Raw genomic sequence first — 14,495 nt, 5'->3', positions numbered from 1 at the left:
TTGGGGAACCCTCTGCCCAGGCCTCTGAAGCAGAAAGGGTCCAAGGAAATTTGTGCCAAACTTTGCAGAAGGACTTTAGCTTTGTGTGTGTGTGTGTGTGTGTGTGTGTGTGACAGTGACAGCATTTCGCTCTGTCATCCAGGCTGGAATGCAGTGGTGCAATCATAGCTCACCACAGCCTCCATCTCCCGAGCTCAAGCAATCCTTCCGCTTCAGCCTCCCGAGTAGCTGGGACTACAGACATGCACCACTGTGCCCACCAGGACTTTAGCTTAATTCTCACAGACTTAGGAGAGACATATGCCATGCACAAGACCCCAGCAAAGGCCTGGGGTGTGATTGCTTGGCAATTAGCCCTGGCCCAGTGGCATTTCTGCTAATGTGGCTTGGAGAGTAACCTGCAACCCTAGGCATGGATGGATAGGACTTTATGCCCAGCTCTTCCTCTTTCTATGAATGTCTCTATACACAAAAGCTGGACAGAATTATGGACCTTCCCCTTCTTGCTTTGTGGGGACCTTGTGAACATGCACTATGTGCTGTTCACTTCTGAAAGAAATAGCACATAGGCGGCCGGGCGCAGTGGCTCACGTCTGTAATCCCAGCACTTTGGGAGGCCGAGGCGGGTGGATCACGAGATCAGGAGATCGAGACCATCCTGGCTAACACGGTGAAACCCCATCTCTACTAAAAAATACAAAACATTAGCCGGGCATGGTGGCGGGCGCCTGTAGTCCCAGCTACTCGGGAGGCTGAGGCAGGAGAATGGCCTAAACCCGGGAGGCGGAGCTTGCAGTGAGCCAAGATCGCGCCACTGCGCTCCAGCCTGGGCAACAGAGTGAGACTCCGTCTAAAAAAGAAAGAAAGAAAGAAAGAAAGAAAGAAAGAAAGAAAGAAAGAAAGAAAGAAAGAAAGAAAGAAAGAAAAGAAAAGAAATAACACTACATAAATCATATGGGCTGAAATTTAATTTTTATATTACAATCGAGAAAATCAAGCCTGTGAAGATGGCCCTAAGGTCAGCTGAAGGAAACGGGAATTGATTTCTTCATGAAGTCATGGTGTGACAAACCCCTGGCCAGATGTGACCTGGCAAATGTCCACATCTGCATCAGAGAACCCACACTGTCATCCTTTCATACTTAGAAAACAGTTTAATAACGTGGCAGGGAGTGATTACATTAACCATGGAACAGCTGCCTATCTGATGAATTGGAATGGGCAGCAGTATATGCAAGTTACATTTCAGAGTCAATGAGTTTTGATAATTGAGTTTATCCCTAGCAATGAGTACAGTTCTAGGAAGTCTAGATAAAAGCGTTATGGGTTCTGTTGGCTTAAGTGTTTCCTGAGCAAGGACCATTAGCTTTGTGTGACTTTTTTGGACTTTTTGTTGTCATTACATCTGGGATAGAACTTCAGTGTTCTCCAGCCTCGTTGCTACCCCCACAGAGCCCCTTTTTATTGTTTTTGTTTTTTGTTGTTGTTATTTTGAGACAGGGTCTCACTCTGTCCCCCAGGCTGGAGTGCAGTGGTGTGATCTCAGCTCACTTCAGCCTCCACCTCTGGATTCCAGTGTTTCCCCTGCCTCAGCCTCCCGAGCAGCTGGGACTACAGACGCACACCACCACACCCAGCTAATTTTTGTATTTTTGGTATAGATGGGGTTTCTTCATGTTGTCCAGGTTGTTCTCGAACTCCAGGCCTCGGGTTATCCTCCCACCTCGGCCTCCCAAATGTTGGGATTACAGGCGTGAACCACCTTGCCCAGCCCTAATCTCTTCTTATGAAGACAGCAGTCATGTGGGATTACAGCCCACCCTAATGACCTCCTTTTAACTTAATTACCTCTTGAAAGACCCTATCTCCAAATAGAGTCACAATCTGAGGTACTAGGGGTTACAATTCATATGAATTCATATGAATTTGGGGAACCATAGCATCAAGATTTACGTTTACCTTATATATTCATGTTAAAATATATACTACATATGTTAATATAATATACTTATGTTATAATTTATAATATATATTTATGCTATACAATATAACTATTATATATATATTTAAAAATCATCTGTCAATCGTGCAAAATAAATTTGATAGGCCCCAGGCATAGTGTGGAAGTGGAAGGAGTGAAAACAAGGTGAATCTGGAAGATGCAGCACATAGCACTGTAAAATAGCACAGGTGCAATAAGCGGAGAGCAATAAAAGGTGGTAGTAATTAAATGCTGGCCAGGATGGTGCAATCCCTAACTACCACAGGAGCTCGGGGAAGGGAGAGAAATCGGCGGTGGGCAGAAAGTGTGGAAGAGGCTTGTAGAGGGGTTGGACCTCAAAGCATGGGGCGGTTGTAGGTAGGAGAATTAAGGGGGAGCTACCTTAATAAAGAGGTGCAGGCAGAACCATGAGGATTGGCTTCATAGCTGGAGCTCCAGTTTGCAAAGCTCTCTATTTAAGGTCTGGACAGGACTGCATTGCTGGGGTCTTCTCAGCCAAACTCATTAGCTTAGGAAGCCGCTGCTCAGGGCACAGTATTTAAATATGTAGGACTCTGCCCTTGCGTCTTAATTGATCCTGAAGCAATGCCCAGACATAACGCTGAGAACCCCAGTCAGCAGGAAGAGCACTTCCTTCATTCAGTAACTTGGTATTTTGCATCGGCATCCTATTGGAACCCACCAGGCAACCTCTTACTGCCTCCGAAGCCCTCTGAGGAACTTACAAACGCCAGGCCCCGACGGGGGAGAAAGGTGGGGCACCGCAGTGGGAGCAGTCACAGGAACCTGACACCCACTGTCGGGCACATGGCTGTGCGTGTTTCAATGGGACTGATTTTTTTTTTTTTTTACTTATTTTTAGACAACCTCAAATAACAATCTAGAAAAGCCAGACTCCAGAGAACAATGAGAAAATGTAGAGAAGCCAAATATAAAAATACCGGCACATGCAAAAAATAAAACAAAATAAAAAAATCAATTCACTTCCACAGATTACAAGTGGAAATTCCCAGAGGGACGAGTAGATTTTGGAAGAGAAAAAGAGATTATATTTTATGGGAAGAGATACAATAACCATTCTCTTCCCATAAAACAAGTGATGGAAGATTGTCTCTGCTTCATAGATATACACTGCACATTTTCAGGATGATACTAACAGGAAATCAATAGGATCTTTTATATGTGAAAAGACATTATCTCTCCGGATTCCCAGCACGGCTAATCGGGCTACAGAAGATCTTCACGAAAACTTACCACTGGCCATTAATCTTGGTCCTGCGACAGTAAGTAGCCTGCAAATCCAGATCTTTGTTTATTTTTAAATTATACTTATTATTTATTTATTTTTTTATGGGGGAGATAGTCGCGTTCAAAGCATCACCCTCCATTAGAGCCACAGAGCCTCCAGATGACAAGTGTCTCCACAGCAGACCAGATGCTCCCGGAGAGCCCCTCCTGCCCACGTCCACGCTGGGTGATGGCCATGTCATTAGCCACCAGAAGCTTTATCTGGGTATAATTTGATAGCTATGACAGGCTCAGCGGGATTTATGGGATCTCCTGGTTTTTGCCTTTATTGATCTGAAATAGAACCAAAGTTAATATCAGCAAAAAACACTTTGTGCTGGGGTCATTTACCCATGAAAGGCTTTGGTGACTGGTGGCTTTGAACATTTATTATACAAGTGTTCTTGGCCAGCTCTAGGTCATGAGCCTCATGATGGCCGACAGACTACACATTCTGGCCTCTCCTGCCACGGGAGTATCTAACCACTGTCCTGGTAAGACCCTTTCTTTTTCCAAGACACCTTAATCATCACAGGGTATAGAGCCCGTTAGTATCAAGTTTGGATTTAGCACTGGCTCTGCCCTGGCATTAGTTTGCTCCAGCTGCCCTAACCAAGTACCAAAGTCTGTGTGGCTTAAAACAACAGAAATCTCAGTGGGGCACATTGGTTCATGCCTGTAATCCCAGCACTTTGGGAGGCCAAGGCGGGAGGATCACTTGAGGCTAGGAGTTTGAGTCCGGGCAACATAGTGAAACCCCCATCTCCAAGAAAAATACAAAAAAAAATACACACGAAAAAAATTACAGGCATAGCATATGTGCCTGTAGTCCCTGCTACTTGGGAGGCTGAGGTGGGAGCATTGCTTGAGCCCAGGAGGTCAAGGCTGCAATGAGCCAGGATCATGCCACTCTACTCCAGCCTGGGTGACAGAGACTGATATATACATATATATATATATATGATATATATGTGTATATATATACACGTATATATGTGTGTATATATATACACGTATATATGTGTGTATATATATACGTATATACGTATATATACACGTATATATGTGTGTATATATATACATATATATGTATATATACACGTATATATGTGTGTATATATACGTATATATGTATATATACACAGACATATATATACATCTCATATATATACACACACACATATATATATATATATGACAGAACATATATATATTCTCTCGTGGTTCTGGAGGCTTGAAATCTAAACCCAGGCATCCCCAAGGCCATGCTTTCCCTGGTGGCTGTAAGGGAGGATCCTTCCTTGTCTTTGCAGCTTGCAGAGGTTGCCTCGACATCCCTCGACTTGCAGACGCATCATCACGCCCAAAAGGTGGCCGTCTCCTCCCTGTGTCTTCATATCATCTTCCCTCTGTGTGCACCTGTGTCCGAATTTCCCCTCTTTAAAAGGACACCAAGGCCGGGCACGGTGGCTCACGCCTGTAATCCCAGCACTTTAGGAGGCCAAGGCGGGAGCATCATGAGGTCAAGAGATCAAGACCATCCTGGCCAACATGGTGAAACCCCATCTCTACTAAAAATACAAAAATTAGCTGGGCGTGTTGACGGGTGCCTGTAGTCCCAGCTACTTGGGAGGCTGAGGCAGGAAAAACGCTTGAACCCGGGAGGCAGAGGTTGCAGTGAGCCGAGATCACGCCACTGCACTCCAGCCTGGCCACAGAGCGAGACTCTATCTCAAAAGAAAAAAAAAAGACACCAGTCGTATTGGATTAGGACCCACCCTAATGATTTCTTTTTTTTTTTTTTTTTTTTTTTGAGACAACATTTCATTCTTGTGGCCCAGGCCGGAGTGCAGTGGTGCGATCTTGGCTCACTGCAACCTCTACCTCCCAGGTTTAAGTGATTCTCCTGCCTCAGCCTCCTGAGTAGCTGGGACTACAGGCATGAGCCACCGTGCCCAACCTAATGATTTCAATTAAATTATTTCAAAGGCCCTATCTCCAAATACAGGCACATTCTGAGGTCCTGGGCATAGGACTTGCCTTCAACATAAGAACTGGGGGACCCAATTCAACCCATAACAGCCCTCAAAAGACTTCCCTCATATTAAATGCAGACCAGATCATTCCTAATATGATCAGTGTAGATCGGGGTTCTCAGCCTCGGCACAGTTGACATCTGTCCAGGCAATTTTTTGTTATGGGAAGCTTTCCAGAGCATGACATAGGGTATTTATTAATAGCAGGATCTCAGGCCTCTACCCGCTAGATGCCAGTAGCACCTCTCCCCTCCCTTGTAAGAACCAAAAATGTCCCCATTTATTCATTTATTGCCAAATGTCCCCTGCAAGGGGAAGAGCGCCCCCAGTGGAGAGCCACTGAATTAAGTGAAATGTAGGCCGACCTTAGAGAAGCATTGCAAGGGGACTGAACACAGATGAAGAGGTTAGAGCGCTCACACATCAGGCAGAGAATCTTCCCTAAAAGCGGCGGATTCTGTGAACCCCCTAAATGTCCAGATTCCTTCATGAATTTCAAGAGTGGTTATTGTGTGCCAAGTATATATCAGGCGCTGATCTGGGCACTGGAGGAAAAAAGAGAACAAGACATTTTATTTTTATTTATTTATTTATTTTGTTGTTGTTTTTTGAGATGGAGTCTCACTCTGTCACCCAGGCTGCAGTGTAGTGGCGTGATCTCGGCTCACTGCAAGCTCTGCCTCCCAGGTTCAAGCGATTCTCCTGCTTCAGCCTCCTGAGTAGCTGGGATTATAGCTGGGATTACAGGCGTCCGCCACCACGCCTGGCTAATTTCGTATTTTTAGTAGAGACGGGGTTTCGCCATGTTGACCAGGCTGGTCTTGAACTCCTGACCTCAGGTGCTCCACCTGCCTCGGCCTCCCAAAGTGCTAGAATTACACGTGTGAGCCACCATGCCTGGCCAAGAACAAGACATTTTAAAACCCCTGCCTTAAATATCATACATTTGAGTGGAGAAGACTGAAAATAAATAAGATAAATAAAATATGTAGAATGCTGGATCATCATATGTGTGAATGTGAAAAAAAAAAAAAACAAGGGAAGCAAGGAGGACAAGAAGTGCTGGGAGGATGAAAAAAAAGTGCTTTTTTTGTGTGTGTTAGATGGAGTCTCGCTCTGTCGCCCAGGCTGGAGTGCAGTGGCATGATCTCGGCTCACTGAAACCTCTGCCTCCCAGGTTCAATCGATTCTGCTGCCTCAGCCTCCCAAGTAGCTGTGATTACAGGCACGCACCACCACACTCAGCTAATTTTTGTATTTTTAGGAGAGATGGGGTTTCGCCATGTTGGCCAGGCTGGTCTCAAACTCCTGAGCTCAAGCAATCTGCCTGCCTTGGCCTCCCAAGGTGCTGAGATTACAGGCATGAGCCACCACGCCCAGCCTGGGATGCTGAGATTTTCCAGGGTGGCCCGGGCAGGGCTCACTGAGATGTGGGGACAGGCTGAGAATGGGGGAGTGGGCATCGAATCATGCAGATTCAGGAAGAGCATTGTAGCTGGAGGGAATAGCCAGGGCAAAGGCCCTGAGGCAGGAGTATCCCTGGGGAGTCTGAGGAACAGGAGGAGGCCTGTGGGGCTGGGGCAGCGTGGACAACAGGGAGAGGGTGGCAGATAGAGTCAGTGAGGGAGGGGCGGGAGACAGATGACGGAGAGCTTTCGGGTCATGGCAGAGACAGGCTGGCACCCTGAGAGTTATGAGGAGCCAGTGGAGCTCCTATGTGTGTGTGGCGGGGGGTGCGGGAGGTGGGGGGTAAATCATCCAACATTTAGCAGGATTCCTCTAACAAGGGGCTGAAGAAGTGCCAGGGCAGAAGTCCAGCTATGTGACTATTACTACATCCAAGAGAGAAACAGGGATCCACAGACTAGCGCGGTGGGTGGCGTGAAGTGCGGGGAGATCCTAGATGGATGTGTTTGACGGCAGTGCCAACGAGATTCGCTGATGTGCCAGACATGGGCTCTGAGAGAGCGGGGAGGTCTTCGGCTTCAGCAAACGGAAGACAGAGCCGCGATTAATTGAGACGAGGAGTCAGCAGAAGCAGCTGGTTTGGAGGGAATATCAGAACGTTTGCTATTTGTTTTCATTGGGGTGCAACAGACATAACATAAAATGTGCTCTTTTAGCCACTGTGAAGGGCACAGTTCTGTGGCCATTACTACCTTCACACTGTTGTGCAGCCATTGCCACCACCCATCTCCAGAACCAGGGCAGGAAGCCCGGGCACTTCGACACTGAGTTCCATAGTGGAGCCGGGTACAAGTTGGCCTAAAGATAGGGTTATAGCCAGCTGGGCGTGATGGCTCACGCCTGTAATCCCAGCACTTTGAGGGGCCGAGGCGGGTAGATCACCTGAGGTCAGGAGTTCGAGACCAGCCTGGCTAACATGGTGAAACCCCCATCTCTACAAAAATACAAATATTAGCCAGGCCTGGTGGCGGGCGCCTGTAGTCCCAGCTACTTGAGAGGCTGAGGCGGGAGAATCAGTTCAACCCAGGAGACAGAGGTTGCAGTGAGCCAAGATCACACCACTGTGCTCCAGCCTGCGTGACAGAGCGAGACTCCATCTAAAAAAATAAAATAAAGATAGGGTTGTCAGATGTCCCTCTTCTCCAGGGACAGACCAGATTCTAGCCATTGCCCTATAATTAATAGCGGCTCTTCTCACTCTGGAAAGTGTTCTAGTCTGGGTGATAACATGGCCACCCCTCTTACTCTGAAGTAAGAACTCCCAGGCAGCATCTCTTGTAAAGTAAAGATGCAGAGCTTCAGGGACTCAGAACCTCCACCTGCGCTCCTCCACTACAGGCACATCTCAGTTACTTGGACCCAGTTCAAGGATGGGTGAAGGCCTGTTTTTGCCAATGACTAAACAACCTTGGAGAAGTCTGTGCACATCGGTCGCTATGTCCTTGGTTCTGGCAGGAAGCAAATGTAAACTCCCAGTCGTGAGGGCAACCACATAGCCTTGGGTCTCCTTTCCTCCTCGACTCACTGGTTCTGACGCACTAAACAAATGATAAGCCTAGATTGCTAGTCTTTGGCTGTGATATCTCCTGCTAGAACTTCCATCTCTCCCACAGCCTACCCTGTGGGACCATCTGCTTCTTTACAGCAAATCTCACCTCACCTGTTGACATTTACATGCACATGCCAAAACTAAGAGAAAGCCTGAAGAATGTGGGACATGAGGAGCTGGGATGTTCCTGGGTCGCTCCACGCTTCATGAGTCAGGCAGGCTGGAATGTGGTTGAAAATCAGGGAGTTATGGATACACATTCCAAAGTCCCCGGTGACATGTTCAGAATGAACGGAACTCCATGACAGGCAAAAACAACAGCCCTTGTTTAATTCTGAAGTTTACATGCACATTGGCACTGTTCTATCCTAACCTTTTGTTTCCATGGAAACCATTTATGATACCACAAAAAGAGGATTCTGACCAAAGTAAGGAAGGAATAGCAGCAATGGAAACTTGCTTTCAAATGAGCTTCAGGTAGAGGGAAGGACAGGGAAAAAAAAAAACAAAGAAACAAAATGTGGAGCCTGATACGGTTTGGATTTGTGGCCCTGCCCGAATCTCATGTCAAATTATAATCCCCAATGTTGGAAGATGGGCCTGGCGGGAGGTGATTGGATCATGGGGGCAAACTTCCCCCTTGCTGTTCTCGTGATAGTGAGTGAGTTCTCGTGAGATCTGGTTGTTTGAAAGTGTGCAGCACCTCCCCCTTCGCTCTCTTTTCCTCCTGCTCCAGTCACGTGGGACGTGTCTGCTTGCCCTCCACCTTCCGCCATGATTGTAAGTTTCCTGAGGCCTCCCAACCATGCTTCCTGTACAGCCTGTGGAACCGTGAGCCAATTTAACCTCTTTTCTTTATAAATGACCCAGTCTCAGGTAGTTCTTTATAGCAATGCAAGAACAGACGAATACAGAGCCATGCCCAGAGCTATTGTTAGGGAGAATGACTCTCTCCGGATGCCCTAGGATGGATGTTTGTGGCCCACTCCTACCAGAGTTGATTCTGACGATCTAGCTGGCTGAGTAACCCTTCCAAAAACTGCTTTACCCTTATGTTTTCTTTTCTCAAGAAAAAAAGTGTTGTTCAACCAAGGGGAAAGCACTCTCTGTTGTAACCCAAGCATGCAGAGGCATGGGGTGGAGGAGCAGACGTCACCTAGAGTATTAGTTTCCTGAGCCTGCTGTAATAAACTTGGTAGCCTAAAACAATAGAAATTTATTTTCTTACCGCTCTGGAGGTCAGAAGTCCAAAATCTGGGTGTCAGTAGATCCACGCTCCCTTTGAAGACTGTAGGACAGACTCCTTCCTTGCTTCTTCTGGTATCGGTGACTTGTTGGCCTGTGGTTGCTTCACTCCAATCTCTGCCTCTGTCTTCTCATGGCCGTCTCCCCTGTGTCTGTGTCTCAAATCTGCCTCTACCTTTTTCTCATAAGGACACCTGTCAGTGGAGCTAGAGTCCATCCTCAATCCAGAATGATATCAAGATCCTTCATTACATCTGCAAAGACCCATTCTCGAAATACGGTCCCTTTCTCATGTTCTGGGGGTTAGGACTTGGACATCACTTTTGGGAGCCACGATTCAACCCACTATACCCATATAACAGGAGACTTTGCCGTGGCAACTATAAAAATTCACATTCCATTTTGGGAGGCTGAGGTGGCAGATCACGAGGTCAGGAGACCTTCCTGGCTAACACGGTGAAACCCTGTCTCTACTAAAAATACAAAAAAAATTAGCCGGGCGTGGTGGCACACGCCTGTAATCCCAGCTACTCAGGAGGCTGAGGCAGGAGAATTGCTTGAACCCAGGAGGCGGAGGTTGCAGTGAGCCAAGATCGTGCCACTGCACTCCAGCCTGGGCGACAGAGCAAGATTCTGTCTCAAAAAAAAAAAAAAAAAAAAAAAAATTCACATTCTGAGCACCAAATGGGAAACCCCGTAGGTCTTGAAGCTTTGGCCAATTTCGGAAAAATTGCATGAGCAGTTCCTACCACTCCAAGACCTGGGCACGGCAGGGAATCTGGGGCGTTGCCATGGTGATTCTAAACCTTGAAACTTTTGTCTTTTCATATTGTTTGCAAGGAACTAGTTACTCAAACCTCATATGAAATGCAGGAATCCAACAGATAGGCTGTTTCTAGAGTAAGCTCATTGCTTGGAGTGAGAACTCCCCTCTGCCTTCATTGAAGAAACAGCACCTGTGACGTTCTTGGGATTCTCCCCAATGACCACCATACTAGGCTTAGCAACAACCTTAAACTTTCAATATAATCAGACATACCTGAGAGTGAGGAGGACAGACGAGGTAGAAGAGAAATGCTCCAACACAGCCCTCCACCACTCCTATTCAGAAGAAATTTTGAAAATGCTTGAAGGAGGCCAGGCACAATGGCTCATGCCTATAAGTCCCAGCATTTATAGAGGCTGAGGCAGGTGGATTACTTGAGCTCAGAAGTTCGAGGTCAGCCTGGACAACATGGTGAGAACCCGTCTCTATAATTAAAAAAAAAAAAGAGGCCGGGCACTGTGGCTCAAGCCTGTAATCCCAGCACTTCGGGAGGCCAAGGCAGGTGGATCACCTGAGGTCAGGAGTTCGAAACCAGCCTGGCCAACATGACAAAACCCCATCTCTATTAAAAATACAAAAATTATCTGGGTGTTGTGGTGTGTGCCTGTAATCCCAGCTACACAGGAGACTGAGGCAGGAGAATTGCTTGAACCCAGGAGGCAGAGGTTGCAGTGAGCCAAGATCGTGCCACTGCACTCCAGCCTGGGCCACAGAGCGAGACTCCGTCTCAAAAAATAAATAAATAAATAATAAAAATAAATTTTAAAAAAGAAAGAAAATGCTTGAGGCTGGGTGTGGTGGCTCACACCTGTAATCCCAGTAACATGGGAGGCCCGAGGTGGGAGAGGATCACTTAAGGCCAGGAGTTCAAGACCAGCTGCAGCAACCTAGTGAGACCTCATCTTTATTTAAAAATTAAAAAATTTAAAAACAAAACTCTTGACTCTACTAAGATACTGTTGGTAACACGGACAGTGAGTGAAAAGCCTCTGTATGAACAGCTTATCATGATTGGCATGACTCTGCCACCCACATCTGTATTTATAAGCAGCTACAGAGGGCCAGGTGGCAGGTGAAAGCTTGTTTCTCCAGGAAACAACAAACTCAGAGAAGCCGTGGCTTTTGTTGAATCTTCCTGGAACTGTCATGCAGGAAAGCCTGGGAAAGGGAAGATTTGGGTAAGTTCATCAGAGTTTCAGTCTGGACAGGATTTTGGCTGCAGATTCTCTTGGTAATTTCCTTTTACATGAGGTAAAAACGTGAGTGACTTTCCTCATGTTAATACATCCATCACCTTCTAGATCCAGCATCCTGCTTCCAGTAGCGTGCTGGGGCCTCCTGTAGCATGCTGGGGCCTGAACACATGGTCTGACTTCGCAGTCATGGCACTGAACCCCTGAGAACCTACCAAAAAGGAGGGTGCAGAGGAAAACCCTCTCCTTGATGGTGTCCCGCATGGCAGAAACAGGCTTTGCTCCTGGAATACTTTCAGGCCCAGGATCATCTTCACAATGAAAAACCAAGACTAGGCCCGGGCGTGGTGGCCCATGCCTGTAATCCCAGCAATTTGGGTGGCCAAGGCAGGCGGATGGCTTGAGCCTAGGAGTTTGAGACCAGCCTGGCCAACATAGCAAGACCTTGTCTCCACACAAAATGCAAAAATTAGCCAGGCGTGGAGGCATGTGCCTGTAGTCCCAGCTACTCAGGAGGCTGAGATGGGAGGATTGCTTGAGCCCAGGAGGTGGAGGCTACAGTGAGCCAAGATCACACCATTGCACTCCAGCCTGACAGAGTGACAGAGACACTGTCTCAAAATAAAAAAATACAAAAAGATAAACCAGGACTGGGAAAACAGAACTAAGGTGGTATGCCCACTTATTGTGAGCCTTCTGGAAGGAGGTCGTGCACTTTTGAAAAGAACCAGAGAGGCCAGGCGTGGTGGCTCATGCCTGTAATCCCAGCACTTTGGGAGGCTGAGGCGGACAGATCACCTGAGGTCAGGAGTTCAAGACCAGCCTGGCTAACATGGTGAAACCCTGTTTCTACTTTAAAAAAAAAAATACAAAAAACATAGCCAGGGCCGGGCACGGTGGCTCACGCCTGTAATCCCAGTACTTTGGGAGGCTGAAGCAGGTGGATCACAAGGTCAGGAGTTCAAGACCAGCCTGGCCAACATAGTGAAACCCCGTCTCTACTGAAAATACATAAAATTAGCCAGGCGTGGTGGCGGGCACCTGTGATCCCAGCTACTCGAGAGGCTGAGGCAGAAGAATCGCTTGAACCCGGGAGGCAGAGGTTGCAGCGAGCCAAGATCACGCCATTGCACTCCAGCCCGGATGACAGTGTGAGACTCTGTCTCAAAAAAAAATTAGCCAGACGCGGTGGTGCACGCCTGTAATCCCAGCGACTAGGGAGGCTGAGGCTGGAGAATTGCTTGAACCCGGGAGGCGGAGGTTGCAGTGAGCCAAGATTGCGCCATTGCACTCTAGCTTGGGCAACAAAAGCAAAATTCTGTCTCAAAAAAAAAAAAAAAAAAAAATGAAAAGAAAAAGAGAAAAGAACCAGAGAATCAAACACATTGTCCACAAAACAGCCCTGCTTCTGCACAAGCAGGTGATGGGGGCGCCATTTTCCTGAAACATCCCCCTTCCTATTCTAAACCTTCAAGTGCAGTCTCTTTGTACGCTTCTGTTCATTGGGACCACAAGTCTGCCCTCTGCTGGTTAAGGGACATGCAAGCATTATTACAACTGGGAAGGGGACCAGTGCTGTGGCCCCTTAACCGACATTTTTCCCAGAGGGGCAGTGATGTAGGCAGTAATGTACTTACCTCCTAACTCATAGAGACTTTATCTTAAGAGTCAGAGCTGTTGAGTGGCCGATAAAACATTCTCTACCTTCATGGGTCACAGATAACATCTACACGCCGCATATCCCAGGGAATTCTAAAATCAAGCTGGTGTTATCACACCTATGGCTAAAAGTCCTCTGAAACATCATCATATAAGTTAATCTCAAAGAGAAAACATAAATAAACCAAGGAAACATAAAAACAGTCATTGAAAGATACAAACCTGAGTCTGAATCCTGGTCTTTCTATTTACTAGCTCCGTGAGCTGGAACGAGTACTCAACCTCTTTTTTTTTTTTTTTTTTTTTTTTTTTTGAGACACGGTCTGAACTCTGCTTCCTAGGCTGGAGTGCAGTGGGGCGATCTCAGCTTACTGCAACCTCCGCCTCCTGAGCTCAAGGGATCCTCCCATCTCAGCCTCCCAAGTAGCTGAGACTACACACAAGCACCACCACGCCTGGCTAAGTTTGTATTTTTTGTAGAGACGGGGTTTTGCCATGTTTCCCAGACTTGTCTCAAACTCCTGGGCTTGAGCGATCTGTCCATCTCAGCCTCCGAAAGTGCTGGGATTACAGGCATAAGCCACTTCGCACTGTTATTCAACTTCTCTAAACCCCAGTTTCCTCAACTGTAAAATGAGGCTGTCTATAATTACATCAGATAATTGTTGAAAAGATTAAATGAGATCATTAATCAGGTAGCACAGTGCAGTATCTGGCACATTGTAAGCATTCTTTAAATCAGGGGTGTCCCGTCTTTTGGCTTCCCTGGGCCACATTGTTAGGATTGTCTTGGGCCACACATAAAATATACTAAACACTAACAATAGCTGATGTGCTTCAGCAAAAAAAAAAAAAAGGCCAGGCACCGTAATTTACAGCTGTAATCCCAGCACTTTGGGAGGCCGAGGCAGGCAGATTACCTGAGGTCAGGAGTTCAAGACCAGCCTGGCCAAGATGGTGAAACCCCATCTCTACTAAAAATACAAAAATTAGCCGGGCGTGGTGGCACATGCCTGTAGTCCCAGCTATTCAGGAGGCTAAGGCAGGAGCATCACTTGAACCCAGGAGGCAGAGATTGCAGTGAGCCAAGATCATGCCACTGCACTCCAGCCTGGGCAACAGAGTGAGATTCCGTCAAAAAAAAAGCAAAGACATCTCATAATGTTTTAAGAAAGTTTACAAATTTGTGTTGGACCACATTCAAAATCGTCCTGGGCTGCATGCAACCCAC

The 14,495-nt window shown here is 46.9% G+C and overlaps 1 long non-coding RNA gene across 2 annotated transcripts; it reads right to left on the bottom strand.

Moving 5' to 3' along the window:
- Positions 1-3,290: 3,290 nt before the first annotated feature.
- LINC01672 (long intergenic non-protein coding RNA 1672) lies at positions 3,291-8,558 on the bottom strand. 2 transcript variants are annotated; one of them, NR_104620.1, is made up of 2 exons: positions 8,453-8,558; positions 3,291-3,583 (listed from the first exon to the last, which is right to left on the bottom strand). It is a non-coding gene; the product is annotated as a long intergenic non-protein coding RNA 1672 (long non-coding RNA). The 2 variants fall into 2 exon arrangements; NR_104621.1 differs by lacking the exon at positions 8,453-8,558 and adding an exon at positions 5,691-5,776.
- Between the last annotated feature and the right edge of the window lie 5,937 nt (positions 8,559-14,495).

Source organism: Homo sapiens, chromosome 1 (assembly GCF_000001405.40).
Source record: "Homo sapiens chromosome 1, GRCh38.p14 Primary Assembly".
Taxonomy (NCBI): Eukaryota; Metazoa; Chordata; class Mammalia; order Primates; family Hominidae; genus Homo; species Homo sapiens.
The sequence above is the reverse complement of the archived record's forward strand: the minus strand, read 5'-3'. Positions and strand labels throughout refer to the sequence as shown.